The 15,062-nt window shown below is 36.9% G+C and overlaps 1 protein-coding gene across 3 annotated transcripts in view, besides 1 other annotated feature; it reads right to left on the reverse strand.

The window, feature by feature from the left end:
• The window catches only part of RAB28 (RAB28, member RAS oncogene family), a 116,617-nt gene that overhangs the window by 9,098 nt on the left and 92,457 nt on the right, over positions 1-15,062 (reverse strand). For all 3 annotated transcript variants that reach the window (NM_001017979.3, NM_004249.4, NM_001159601.2), the window contains exon 5: positions 4,670-4,773. In NM_001017979.3, the coding sequence (NP_001017979.1) occupies positions 4,670-4,773 (104 nt within the window). The remainder of the gene's footprint in view (positions 1-4,669; positions 4,774-15,062) is intronic.
• Positions 7,370-7,869: an enhancer, noted in NCBI's record as "H3K4me1 hESC enhancer chr4:13385815-13386314 (GRCh37/hg19 assembly coordinates)". NCBI's record gives its function as "activates a minimal SCP1, AML or CMV promoter by ChIP-STARR-seq in naive H9 embryonic stem cells {active_cell/tissue: H9 hESC(naive)}" and the evidence as "EXISTENCE:reporter gene assay evidence [ECO:0000049][PMID:30033119]".

The following is a 15,062-nucleotide window of genomic DNA, read 5'->3' on the forward strand; positions in this document are numbered from 1 at the left end:
AAACTCCATGCAATTCAATGAATTGATCATTTTCTCTAAACACACACATGAAAGATTTAACATGATGATTACAGCTACCACTTTAAAAAACAACAAAACAATCCTACTTACTACTATAAAAACTCCCATAATTCCTGAAGAAAATAAAAATAATCTATACTTTACCAACCTAGTTTTTCACTGTCGGTTTTATCTTGGTCCTTTTAGCCACCTTTGGCCTATCTCAAAAGGTCTTAGTTTCTAACACTTTAATACTCTCTGTGCCTTTCATATCATTCCAGCAAATTCTCCATGTTTCTTGAGTAAAGCAACTTGGTACTGTTTACTATATTTTATCAGTTCAGAGCAAAGGAAAAATATATGCCATTACGATTAAACAAAAATAGACAAATATTTTTCTATAAATAGCCTTTCCACACATAGTTAGCTTATGTCAGGTCTGCTGTAATTACTAGAGTTCCAATCCTGACATTTACTGTAGTATAACTTATCTTTTCTTCATAAATGTCCTACCATATTCTTATCCCTATTCATCACATGCTTATAGAATATTTATCAAAACTTTATTAATTTTTACTTCTAACAAAAAAGGATACATATTCCTGATAGCCTTATGCCACTTGTACCCTAAGAAGCATATTTTAGTTCACTGATGGTCAATGGTCAAGGAACAACAGGAAAAGTACTGTGGTGGAGTGGAGAGAAAGAGTGGTTATAAAAGAAGACGAGCAAAGAGATGAAGGGAGTACAAACCATGTAAAATCTGGTAGGCTACTGGAAGGACTTTGGCGTTTACTCCAAATGAAATGGAAGGCATGGGAGGGTGGCCCAATGTGACTTTTATTTTAACAGCATTAGTCTGGTTGTTTGTATTGAACATTCACTATAGGAGACCAAGTGTACAAAAACAGAATCAGCAAAGAAACTAATGTAAAATATTATGGAGGCTGAACCAAAGTGGTAGAAGTGGACAAAGTAAGAAACAGTCATCAGGTTCTGGATATATTTTCAAAGTACAGCCAAGGGGATTTGGTGACAGATGTGGGGTGTGAGAGAAAAAGAGGAGTCAAGAAAGGCTCCAAAGTTTTTTTGGCCTGAGCAACTGGTAGATCTGCTATTTATTAAAGTGAGGAAGACTGTGAGAGATTTGAGGAGGGAATAGCAAGAGCTCAGTTCTAAACATGTTAAATTGGGCAGCCTATTAGACATCTAAGAGGAGATGCTGAGCGGGCAGTTGGATATAAGAGTCTACAGTTCAGGGGAAAAGTCTGAGCAAAGCCAGAAGACTAAATAAAGCCATTAGGAATAAGTGTAGAAAAAGAGATTATCAAAGGACTGAACCTTAGTTGGCTGGAGACATAAGAAAATTAGTCAAGGGGACTGACAGAGTAGTTAGTGAAGCAGGAAGAAAACCAGGAGGCGTTGTATCCTGGAAGCTAAGTGCAGAGAGTATTTCAAAGAGACGAGAGTGATCAGCAATTATTTATGTTGCTACTTAATAAAATAAGATGAGGGCTGAGTACTGACCATTGGATTCAGCAAAAAGGAGGCCATTGATGACGTGAATAATAGCAGTTTGGGTAAAATACTGAGGGCAAAAGTCTGCTGGAACTGGAAGAGAAACTGGCAAAAGAAGAACTAGAGACAATTCTTTAAAACATCCACTGGAAAGTGAAGGAAGGAAATAAGGCAACAGCTAGAGAAAAAATGTGGCATCAAGAGTTTTCTTGTTTTTAAGATAAAAGAAGTCATAATATTTTCTGTGTTGAAAGAATAATCCAGTAGGTGGAAAAAAAATAATACATATGAAAGAGAGAGAACTGCTAAAGCAATATCCTTGATTCAGCAAAGATAAATGGGACTAGTACACAATGGAGAAGTTGGCCCTAGCTAGAATAGATCCCATAGTAACCACAGAGAAGACAGAAGATATGAGAACAGATGGGGTAAGTAGGATGAGGTTAGACCTGGTAGCAGCAGTATGTAGAAGTTGTCTTCTGTTTGTTTCAAATTTCTTATAAAATAGGAAACAAGGTCATCAGCTGATAGAATAGAGGAGGATAGTTTGAACATTTGAAGAGAGAAGAGAAGCTATGAAATAGTCATCGGCCTGGTGCATTGGCTCACACCTGTAACCCCAACACTTTGGGAGACTGAGGCGGGTGAATCACGAGGTCAGTTCAAGATCAGCCTGGCCAAGATGGTGAAACCCCATCTCTACTAAAAATACAAAAAATTAGCCAGGCGTGGTGGTGGGTGCCTGTAATCCCAGCTATTCGGGAGGCTGAGGCGGAGAATTGCTTTAACCCAGGAGGCGGAGGCTGCAGTGAGCTGAGATCGCACCACTGCACTCCAGCCCGGAGGACACAGTGAAACTCTGTCTCAAAAAAAAAAAAAAAAAAAAAAAGTCACCTAGGTGAGGGGAAGAGGTGATAGACTAGGGATATAGAGCATAATTACTGAGCAGCATTAAGGGCCCACTTGAGATTAGTGATTGTGAACTTAAAGTGAAAACTCCAGCATGCCTCTGTGTTTTTCTCTGGTCATGTTCATGGGTACACCCATGAAAAAGTGGAGACTTGGTTTAAACCAGAATTAAGGTTTAGCCAAGCGGATCTGACAAAATGAAAGAGGGAAAAGGGAACTGAGAGTATATGCATGGCAATGATTTGGACTGGCCATGAGATTTAAGCTCAGAAGAGAGAAAAATGAAGACATGAAAAGAGGTTAAGATTTTGCAAAGGTGTTAGGATCAATGTCTTGTAGGTCTTGCTAGGGTTGAGAATGGTTGTGTTAGGACACTCAAAGGTGTGAAATAGAAGATGGTTGGTGGTTAGTGATTAGGATGCCTGATACTGAGATAATAGAAGAGCCACAGTAATTTGTAATGATGTGATCTGTAGTATGCAAGAGTGACTAAGGTGGCATCAGGGAGAAACAAGGATACTGAAATCACTAAGAATTATGACATAGGAATATCAGAGAAAGTATAGTAACCCAGGAGCTCATCTCCTCAAGCAATGAGAAAGTTACCTGGAGCTAGAAATGATTACAAGTCTTAAAGTAATTTCATAAGAACAAACCATTTCAAAGTACCACTTAAAAAAAATGAAGTTTTTTAATAGTGGTTCAATATAAGCAAACAAAAAACACTAAGTGGCAAAAAAATACTAAGTGGTTAAAAACAAGCTAAAATACTACAAGTTAAAATAATTCTGAAATGGCAAAAAAAGCCCCTGGGAAGATTAAGTGAGGGTAGAAGCCCAGTGAATCCATGGATGAGTTTATCTACAATTATTGACATTACATTTTTTAAAAAGGCATGGATGGGTGAGTATGTGCCCATGTTCACATTGTCTGAGGGGAAAGGATTCCAGGAGGCCAAATTTTTTAATGGGTCTTACCAAAAGAAAGAATAAACCCCCATCATATTATTTATTTTAGGTGTAAAACTATAAAGGATATTACAGAGAAAAACATCAAAAATCTTAAACCACAGAAAAATTTCAAACTTCTTTTAGTTGAAAAATGTCAACTGGAAAAATAGTCAAATAGGGGTCAGTGATGATTATTTGAAAAAATTATGATACATGACTATTAGCACTAATATAAAAATGGTCATAGAAAATTTCTAAATACAATAGAAAGTTATAACAAGTAAAAAGCAGAAAGTGAATAACTAATAAAACTTTTAAAATTTCAACCTCAATTATAATCAAAGAAATTCAAATTTAAATAGTGAAGTATCTTTTTTCTTTTTTGGGGCCTACCAATTTGACAAAGATTTTAAAATAAATACATAGATAAATCCTGAATGTTAAAAGGATGTAGTTATGGCAATCATACAATGCTGGTGATAGCATGAATTTAGTCTTTCTGGTGGTGATTTGGCAATGTTTCAATCTCCTTTCAAGGAATCTACCTAAAGAAAATAATCAAAACACCAAAAGCTTACGGACAAAATTTTACATTAGAACATTATGTTCAAAACTTAACAACCTATATGTTCCACAATAAGAATAAGATTGAATAAATTTCTGAACATTTATTAAATGAATTATTCAATCTATTATTAAATGACATGGGAACAATAAAAATATTAAGTAAAAAGTAAAATATAAAATTATTTCTATATTATAATCTTAATTTTTAAAAATAAATATAGGGTTGTGACTGTGAGCCCCAGAGTGTCACTATTTGCCTTCACAAATCCTCTCTCCTCCACTTATTAGCCGTGTAATCTGGACCCCATTACATAATTTCTCTAAGACTCATCTATAAAATGGAGATAATCAGAGTAGTACAATATCTATAATAAAGTAAGCACTCAATGAATGCCATCTCCTAGCCACAGGCAGCAGCACTAGTGTGAGCATCAGGAAAAGAGACTAGATGGAATCATATGAGGTTATGAGTGGTTATCTCTAGATACTGACATTACGGGTGGTTTATATTCATTTTAATTCCCCTTTTAAAAATAACTAAAATTATGTTAAATAAATTATAAAAGTAATATAACCAGAATAAACATGTTATATCTAATCTAAGGAATTTCATGTTTTCAATAGGAATTAATTTGCTCCAAAAGTTAAATAGTGGAAGTATACTTCCTAGGAATGTTAGTAAATAAAAGGAAAACATCACATACAGTATTCATTATTTTACTTACAGAGTCTCCTGTCTTGGCTGAGACAAAGTGGCTACTAAAACCATTTTCCTGGCAAAACCGTAAGTGTTTTTCAGGTTTTATTGTTCGCATATGCTCCAAATCAACTAGAAAGGTGTTAAAGAAAGAAAATAATTCAATATTAGAGTCTATCAAAACGTTTTTAACATGTTTAAATTTGACTTGCTTTCCAATATTATATTCCAGCTTCGACATCAGCTGTGCAACCTTGGACAATTTATTAAACCTCTTTATGACTCAGTTTCCACATCTATAAACTGGGAATAATAAATATACCTATTTTGTAGAGAGTTATTTGATAATTAATCTATGTATAATGCACAAAGACCAGCACAGAAGTGCTAAAAAAAAAATGTGCGCTATCATTATTATTATCATCTGTATAAGTTCAGGCACACTGATGATGCTCAACAAAGATCTACTTAATATAGTACATTTAAACATGGTGATTAATTGAAGGCAAGTTGTACTTACCCAAGCATATTTGGCTTGAAAGAGTTTAATTACTTTAATAATTAGCTCTGTAATCTCTATAAGCTTGAATGTTAGCACAAATACATAACTTTCTGCTTAAGAGATCAATATTACATTGTGTGTTTACATTAATTTATAGCCATACTTTAATTTCACAAAGACATAGTTCAGTTGTTTTCCATCTAGAGTATCCATTTTGAGAGTAAGGGGCAAGGATGTATTTCCTTAAATAGTTGTAGGTGCTTTAAAGCAAGGCACAGTACTCATATCCAATACTGGTTTTATCCAGCACAGTGTATTTTTCCAAATGTGATCCTTTATTTAACAGTTTCTCTTTTTACAACACTACAGACCCTATAAGGGTGTTGATTCAATGCCGTCAAATTATAAGGCAAATATATTCACAGGATTTAAGGACAACTAGGCTCTTTGAGTCAATATAGGAAAAAAAAAACTTAAACTGATTTCCTGAGGAAGGGACCCAAATGACTTGTAAAAACTTGTAAATTTGCAAATCTAGTAAGCCTACATAATAGTGCCAATTGATTATCAACTAAAAAATGCACTCATACTACATAAAAGACTTTATTTAAAATTATATTGAAAGTCTTTAGTTTGTAGGCTCAAGGGTTCTCTCTCTAGGAGATTTTTTTTAATCTAATGGGGTATTCCTGAGCCCCATTTATATTGCTTACCTTGGAAAATATGGAATTTTTTTTTTTTTTTTTTTTTTTGAGACAGAGTCTTGCACTGTCACCCGGGCTGGAGTGCAATGGCATGATCTCGGCTCACTGCAACCTCTGCCTCCTGGGTTCAAGCAATTCTCCTGCCTCAGCCTCCCAAGTAGCTGGGATTACAGGCGCCTGCCACCACGCCCGGCTAATTTTTTGTATTTTTAGTAGAGATGGGGTTTCACTACGTTGGCCAGGTTGGTCTTGAATTCCTGACCTCAAATGATCCACCCACCTCGGCCTCCCAAAGTGCTAGAATTACGGGCGTGAGCCACAGCACCTGGTCTTTTTGTTTTGCTTTGTTTTGTTTTTTTTGCTCTTCTGGCCAGAGTGCTATTCCTTAAACATCACTATCTCCTTATTTACAAGAACAGGCAAGGAATGTCCAGATACCACAGGCATCAATTTGTGGAAGACTAAAATACTAAGCTATTAGCACTGACATTTATATATCCAATTTATCATAATATTGGAGCTAACTTTTCTAATTCAACAAGAGTAAGAACAAATCTTGTCACGAGGAAAAATCCCCATTGAAATCGCCACCCATTGAAATCACCATCCATTAAAAAATAAATAAATAAAAATAAAAGTTGTGTCACTTAATGTGTGTGTACATTTGTTTTTTCTAATGGTTTATTGCTTTTTATTTCTCTTTCTCCCTCCTTCCTTCCAAATCTCCATCTATCATTTACTACTCAAACAAAAGTTTTTTTCCTAACAAATATAACCATGGAAAGACTAGTAGTACCATTGTTCAATTGAAAAAAAAAGAACTTATTCAACAAACATTTATTGAGCATCTATTATATGCCAGGTATTGTGGCAGGTAGTGATATGGTTTGGCTGTGTCCCCACCCAAATCTCATCTTGGGTGGCTGTGTCCTCATCCAAATCTCATCTGGAAATGTAGCTCCCATAATCCTCACAGGTCATGGGAGGGACCTGGTGGAAGGTAACTGAATCATGGAGACGGCTTTTCCTGTGCTGTTCTCATGATAGTAAATAAGTTCTCATGAGATCTTATAGTTTTATAAAGGGCAGTTCCCCTGCACATGCCATCTTGCCTGACGCCATGTAAGGCGTGCCTGTGCTCCCACAGGAGATTTTAGCCCTAGGGGAACTGTCAGACCTGAATGATGCAGGGCAGTCCTGCCTATCACACAGGGCTAGTCCAACCTCAGCATCCCTTGGTCTGCTGCCCTCTCCTGAGGTCCCAGCCTGGCCATACTTGCTTGCAGTGCAGTCTTGGATGTACTGGGGGTCCACATTATACCTCTGCACTGGTGCACTGCACCTGACTGGTGGAAAGTAGTACTCACCGCCATGCACCAGCCTCCCTCGCCCCAGTGAACCCTGCCAACCCCACCACCTCCAGAGCCTCACCCCTGCACCAACACTGCCGCAAGAGTGAAACTAGGAAGGGAGAACAATGGACCTCCCCTACCCTGAGCAGCCACCCCACCTGAGTGATCATGCACAGAGGGCAGGCACAGACCTGCACCCGCCAGCACCCGACCCCCATGCTAATACCACCACCAGCACAGTAGCCAGCAGGGGCCCTCAAAGCAGTATTGCCTCTGCTGCTGCTGTGAATGCCTGCAGGGAGGCAGGCACCTGCTAGCACCCTGCTGCAGTTGATGAGTGTGTACCCCACCGTGCTGCTGCTGCTGCTGCTGCTAGCACATGCAAACAAGGACAAATCCCACTGCCGCTGCCTTACGAAACACTTTGGCTAGTACCACCTACTGAAGTGTAATGACCAGTGGTCCAGGAATACGTAGGTCCCACCAGCACAGTGGGTTCCTAACCTCGAGGAGTCAGAGAACAAATCTGGGGCTGGATACAAGTCCCCCAGATTTAGAGCATGCAGTCCAGGAGCTGGGAGCTGAGGCTTGGCCCCCTAAAATCTTCCAGAAATGAAGCCAGTTGACTGAACCCACTTTATACCACAATCAAACTCTCAAGGTCATCAAATAGGATAAAAGAAAAAAAGTCCAAAGATCAGCAACATCAAAGACCGAAAGAACATAAGCCCCCAAAGATGAGAAAGAATGAACATAAGAACTCTAACAACTCAAAAAGCCAGAGTACCTTCTTTCCTCTAAATGACGGCACTACTTCTCCTGCAAGGGTTCTGAACTGGACTGAGATGGCTGAAATGACAGAAAAAGAATTCAGAATATGGATAGAAACGAAGGTCACTGAGATGCAGGAGTATGTTGAAACCCAATCCAAGGAAGATCCAAATGATACAGGAGCTGACAGACAAAACAGCCAGTACAGAAAAGAATATAGCTGACCTGATAGAGCTGAAAAATACACTACAGTAATTTCATAATGCAATTCCAACTATTAATAGCAGAATAGATCAACCTTAGGAAAGAATCCCAGAGCCTGAAGACTGGCTTCCTGAAATAAGTCAGACAAGAATAAAGGAAAAAGAATGAAAAGGAATGAACAAAATCTCTGAGAAATAGGAGATTACATAAAGAGAACAAATCCACAACTCATTGGTGTCCCTGAAACAGATGGGGAGATTGGAAGCAAATTGGAACACATATTTCAAGATATCATCCATGAGAATCTCCCCAACCTAGCTAGAGAGGCCAACATTCAAATTCAGGAAATGAAGAGAACCCCAGTAAGATACTTCACAAGAAGATCATCCCCAAGACACATAATCATCAGATCCTCCAAGGTTGAAATAAAAGGAAAAATGTTAAAAGCAGCTAGAGAGAAGGGTCAGGTCACATACAAAGGGAAGCCCATAAGACTAACAGACCTCTTACCAGAAACCCTAAAGGCCAGAAGGGTTAATATTCAATGTTCTTAAAGAAAAGAAATTCCAGCCCAGAATTTCATATCTGGCCAAACTAAGCAAAAAAGAAATAAGATCCTTTTCAGACAAGCAAATGCTCAGGGAATTCTTAGCAGACCTGGCTTACAAGAGCTCCTAAAGGAAGCAGTGAATATGGAAAGGAAAGACCACTATCAACCACTACAAAAACACACTTAAGTACACGGACCACTGATACTATAAAGCAACCACACAAAAAAGTCTGCATAATAACCAGCTAACCTCATGATGACATCCACATGCGAAAGAATAAAAACAGACTCTTATCTTTCACCATAAGCAAAAATCAACTCAAAATGGAGTAAAGGCTTAAATTTAAGACCAGAAACTGTGAAATTCCTAGAAGAAAACAAGAGAAATGCTTACAGACATTGGTTTGGGCAAAGATTTTTATGGATGAGACCTCAAAAGCACAGACAACAAAACCAAAAATAGACAAACAGAATTATATCAAACAAAAACCTTCTACAGAGCAAAAGAAACAATCAACAGAGTGAAGAAATAACCTGCAGAATGGGAGAAAATATTTACAAACTCTGATAAAATATTAATATCAAGAATACACAAGGAACTCAAAAAACCCTGCAAGACAACCTAAGCAAAACCATTCTGGACATAGGAACAGGCAGATATTTCAGGATGAGGATGCCAAAAGCAACTGCAACAAAAACAAAAATTTACAAATGGTACCTAATTAAACTAAAGAACTTCTCCACAGCAAAAGAAACTATCAACAGAGTAAACAGACAACCTACAGAATGGGAGAAAAGTTTGCAAACTATGCATCTGACAAAGATCTAATATCAAACATCTATAAGGTATTTAAACAAATTTACAAGAAAAAAAAACAGCTCAATTAAAAAGTGGGCCAAGGACCTGAACAGATACTTCTCAAAAGAAGACATACATGCATCCAACTAACATGAAAAAAAGCTCAACATCACTGATCATTAGAGAAATGCAAATCAAAACCACAATGAGATACCATCACACACTAGTCAGAATGGAAAAACCCAAAAAATAACAGGTGCTGGCAAGATTGCAGACAAAAGGGAATGCTTACATACTGTTGGTGGAAGTATAAATTACTTCAACCATTGTTGAAAACAGTGTGGTGATTCCTCAAGTACTTAAAACAGAACTACCATTCAACACAGCAACCCCATTACTGGGTATATACCCAAAGGAATATAAATCATTCTATCTTAAAAACACTTGCAAGTGTATGTCCCTTGCAGCACTATTCAAAATAGCAAAGACATGGAGTCAACCTAAATGCCTGTCATTGACAGATTGGATAAAGACAATGCAGTACATATGCACCATAGAATACTATACAGCCATGAAAAAGGAGATCATGTCCTTTGTGGGAACATGGATGGACCTGGAGACCATTATCCTTAGCAAACTAATGCAAGAACAGAAAATCAAATATGACATGTTCTCACTTATAAGTAGGAGAAAAATGATGAGAACACATGGACACATAGAGGGGAACAATAGACACTGTGGCCTACAAGAGGATGGAGGGTGGGAGGGGACAGAGGATCAGGAAAAAGAACTAATAGGTACTAGGTGTAATACCTGGGTGATGAAAAAATCTGTACAACAAACTCTCATGACACAAGTGTAACTATGTAACAAACCTGCATATGTATCCACGAACTTAAAAGTTAAAAGAAAATATAGGAAGTTAACATGATTAGCAAGACAATGGAAATCTAAGCATCATAATTGTCTCTGCTATTCTGGTCATCTCACATGTAATCAAATAGTCATAAAATTACATTAAATTTAATTATAAATTGTGAAGCCTATTTTACATTTTCACATATTAGGGAAAAACATTAACAAAACTTGTACCATTGGAGAAATGTTATTTCTGTTGCCCTTTAATGGCTCAAGTGATAATGGAAAATAGTACAAAAACAAAAATCCATACCTCATTGTCAACACATTTTGTTGGAAGATATAAGGAAAGCAATGCTGAAGTATGAGAAGTAATTATACAGTGTGGAGGTTTGCTACACATTTAGGTAAAAGTACAGATGGCTTGAACATGACATCTTTTGGTATTTGCTAGATTCTCCTTCAACAATGAAATCTGAAGAAAATAGCTGTCTGTGAAGAATTAAAGAAAAAATGTATGTTTTCAACATGATTGATTCTTCAATTTCAAAAAAAATTTTATTTGCATGGAGTGGATACTTTTGACTGGAATGAAAATACAATTCTGAAAATATAGCACCACCATTTTTGAATGCCAGACAAAGTATATGTGCTTCTAAAGACATTGTCCACACAATGCAAAACTTGTTGAGGGATCTGCTTATCTTTCCTCCCTGACTTTCCCCAGGTCAAATTATAAACTTGATAACCCAAGAACTCCCAGGGTCAATTTTCACCCATTACTATCATTCAGTATTTTGTAACCCAGTGTCAATTTTCACCCATCACTATCATTCAGTATTTTGTAAGATCTTTTAACAAACGTGGTGTTATTCTAACATCTCTGCTTTCAGACAGCAAGATTTACTTGGAGAGTCGGATACGCCATAAAAGCAATGCTAATTAAGAGCTACATTTTATTGGTTTAAAATGTAGTCTTCCAAATAGAATAGAAAGCCCAGAAATAAACCTCACATATATGGCCAAATGATCTTCTATAAGGAGGCCAATACAACTCAGTGGGGAAAAGGACAATCTCTTCAACAAATTATGTTGAGAAAACTGGATTTTCACATGTAAAAGAATGAAGTTGGACCTTTATCTTACACCACACACAAAAATTAACTCAAAATCAATTAAAGACCTTAACATAAAAACCAAAAACTGTAAAACTCCTGGAAGAAAACACAGGGAAAAAGCTTCAGGTCATTGGACTTGGTGGTGATTTCTTGGACATGACACCGAATGCAGAGAAACAAAAGAAATAACAGACGAACAGGGCCACATCAAACTTAAAAATTTTCGTGTATCAAAGCACATAATCAACACAGTGAAGACACAACCTACAAAATGGGAGAAGATATTTGCAAATCATATATCTGACAAAATGTTAATATCTAGAATATATAAAGAACACCTACAACTCAACAACAAAAAACACAATTTACAAATAAGCAAAAGGCTTGAATAGATATTTCCTCAAAGATAACACATCATCAGAGAAATGGAAATCAAAACTACAAAGAAATATCACCATTAAGGTGGCTAAATTTAAAAAAACAAGGATGAAAAAGATGTAGAGAAATTGAAACACTAATGTTTGTTGGTGGGACTGTAAAGTGGTGCAACTGCTACAGAAAACTGTATGGGGTTTCTGAGAAAGTTAAACATAGAACGACTGTATGATCCAGTAATCCAACTTCTGGGTATATATCCCAAAGAACTGAATGCAGGGTCTTGAAGAGATATTTGCTATTTGCACATCCAAGTTTACAACAGCACTAGTCATAATAGCTAAGAGGTGGAAGTAATCCAGATGTTCACTGATGAATGACTGGATAAACAAAATGCAGTGTATATATACAATGGAATATTATTCAGCCTTAAAAAGAAAGGAAATCTTGTCACATGCTACAACATGGATGAACCTTGAGCGCATTACGTTAAGTGAAATAAGCAAGTCACCAAATGCAAATATCATATGATTCCACTCTTATGAGGTTAACTAAACTAGTCAAATTCAGAGACAGAAAGTAGAATAGTGGTTGCCAGGGGATGTAGGCAGAGGAAAAAAGAAGTTGTTGTTTCATGGCTATAGAATTCCAGATTTGCAAGATGAAAAAGTTCTGAAGATTTGTTTCACAACAATATGACTACAGTAACACTACTGAACTGTACACTTGAAATGGTTAAGATGGTAAATTTTGTAGTTTTTTAACCACCATTTGAAAAAACATAGCTTTCCAAAGCTACAGTTATTGATAATCCACCACTCTGAAATACTTTAATGGAAAATTTCAAATTTATACAAAAGTAAATAGTATAATGACTCTTGAAGTACTCATCACTTACCCTCAACAATTGTCAAGTCATGACCAATCCTATTTCATCCATACCACCACTCTCAGATTATTTGAAGGCAAATTGAACACATATATCACTACATGCATAGATATTTTAGTACCATGTTTTGTTTTTATTTCATTGAGGTTTACAGCTTTTATTCAGAAGCAACAAATTAAAATTCTGAATCTACCTTCACATAAACAGATCCAATGACAAAAACCACATGATTATCTCAATAGATGCAGAAAAGGCCTTCAACAAAATTCAACAACCTTCATGCTAAAAAACTCTCAATAAACTGGGTATTGATGGAACGTATCTCAAAACAATAAGAGCTATTTATGACAAACCCACAGCCAATGTCATACTGAATGGGCAAAAACTAGAAGCATTCCCTTTGAAAACTGGCACAAGACAAGGATTCCTTTCTCACCAGTCCTATTCAACATAGTGTTGGAAGTTCCGGCCGAGCAACCAGGCAAGAGAAAGAAATATAAGGTATTAAATTAGGAAAAGAGGAAGTCAAATTGTTCCTGTTTGCAGATGACATGATTGTATATTTCGAAAACCCCATCTTCTCAGCCCAAAATCTCCTTAAGCTGATAAGCAACTTCAGCAAAGTCTCAGGATACAAAATCAATGTACAAAAATCACAAGCATTCCTATACACCAATAACAGACAAACAGAGAGCCAAACCATGAAGGAACTCCCATTCACAATTACTACAAAGAGAATAAAATGCCTAGGAATCCAATTTACAAGGGATGTGAAGGACCTCTTTACCTCTTCAAGGAGAACTACAAACCACTGCTCAAGGAAATAAAAGAGGACACAAACAAATGGATGAATATTCCATGCTCAGGGATAGGAAGAATCAATATCATGAAAAACGGCCATACTGCCCAAGGTAATTTATAGATTCAATGCCATCCCCATCAAGCTACCATTGACTTTCTTCACAGAATTGGAAAAAACTACTTTAAAGTTCACATGGAATCAAAAAAAAAAAAAGCCTGCATGCAAAAAGAACAAACCTGGAGGCATCAAACTACCTGACTTCAAACTATACTACAAGGCTACAGTAACCAAAACAACATGGTACTACTACCAAAACAGAGAGATAGATCAATGGAACAGAACAGAGGCCTCAGAAATAATGCCACACATCTACAACCATCTGATCTTTGACAAACCTGACAAAAACAAGCAATGGGGAAAGGATTCCCTATTTAATAAATGGTGCTGGGAAAACTGGCTAGCCATATCTAGAAAGGTGAAACTGGATCCCTTCCTTACACCTTATACAAAAATTAATTCAAGATGGATTAAAGACTTAAATGTTAGACCTAAAACCATAAAAACCCAAGAAGAAAACCTGGGCAATACAATTCAGGACATAGGCATGGGCAAGGACTTCATGTCTAAAACACCAAAAGCAATGGCAACAAAAGACAAAATTGACAAATGGGATCTAATTAAACTAAAGAGCTTCTGCACAGCAAAAGAAACTACCATCAGAGTGAACAGGCAACCTGTAGAATGGGAGAACATTTTTGCAATCTACCCATCTGACAAAGGACTAATATCCAGAATCTACAAAGAACTTAAACAAATTTACAAGAAAAAAACAAACAACCCCATCAAAAAGTGGGCAAAGGATATGAATAGATACTCTCAAAAGAAGACATTTATGCGGCCAACAGACACATGAAAAAACGCTCATCATCACTGGTCATCAGAGAAACGCAAATCAAAACCACAATGAGATACCATCTCACACCAGTTAGAATGGCAATCATTAAAAAGTCAGGAAACAACAGATGCTGGAGACAATGTGGAGAAATAGGAACGCTTTTACGCTGTTGGTGGGAATGCAAATTAGTTCAACCATTGTGGAAGACAGTATGGCGATTCCTCAAGGATCTAGAACTAGAAATACCATTTGACCCAGTGATCCCACTACTGGCTATATACCCAAAGGATTATAAATCACGCTACTATAAAGACATATGCACACGTATGTTTATTGTGGCACTATTCGCAATAGCAAAGACTTGGAACCAACCCAAATGTCCATCAATGATAGACTAGATTAAGAAAATGTGGCACATATACAACATGGAACAGTATGCAGCCATAAAAAAGGATGAGTTCTTTTCCTTTGCAGGGACACAGATGAAGCTGGAAACCATCATTTTCAGCAAACTATCACAAGGACAGAAAACTGAACACCGCATGTTCTCACTCATAGGTGGGAACTGAACAATGAGAACACTTGGACACGGGGCGGGGAAC

This window comes from Homo sapiens, chromosome 4, assembly GCF_000001405.40.
Source record: "Homo sapiens chromosome 4, GRCh38.p14 Primary Assembly".
In the NCBI taxonomy this organism is placed as follows: Eukaryota; Metazoa; Chordata; class Mammalia; order Primates; family Hominidae; genus Homo; species Homo sapiens.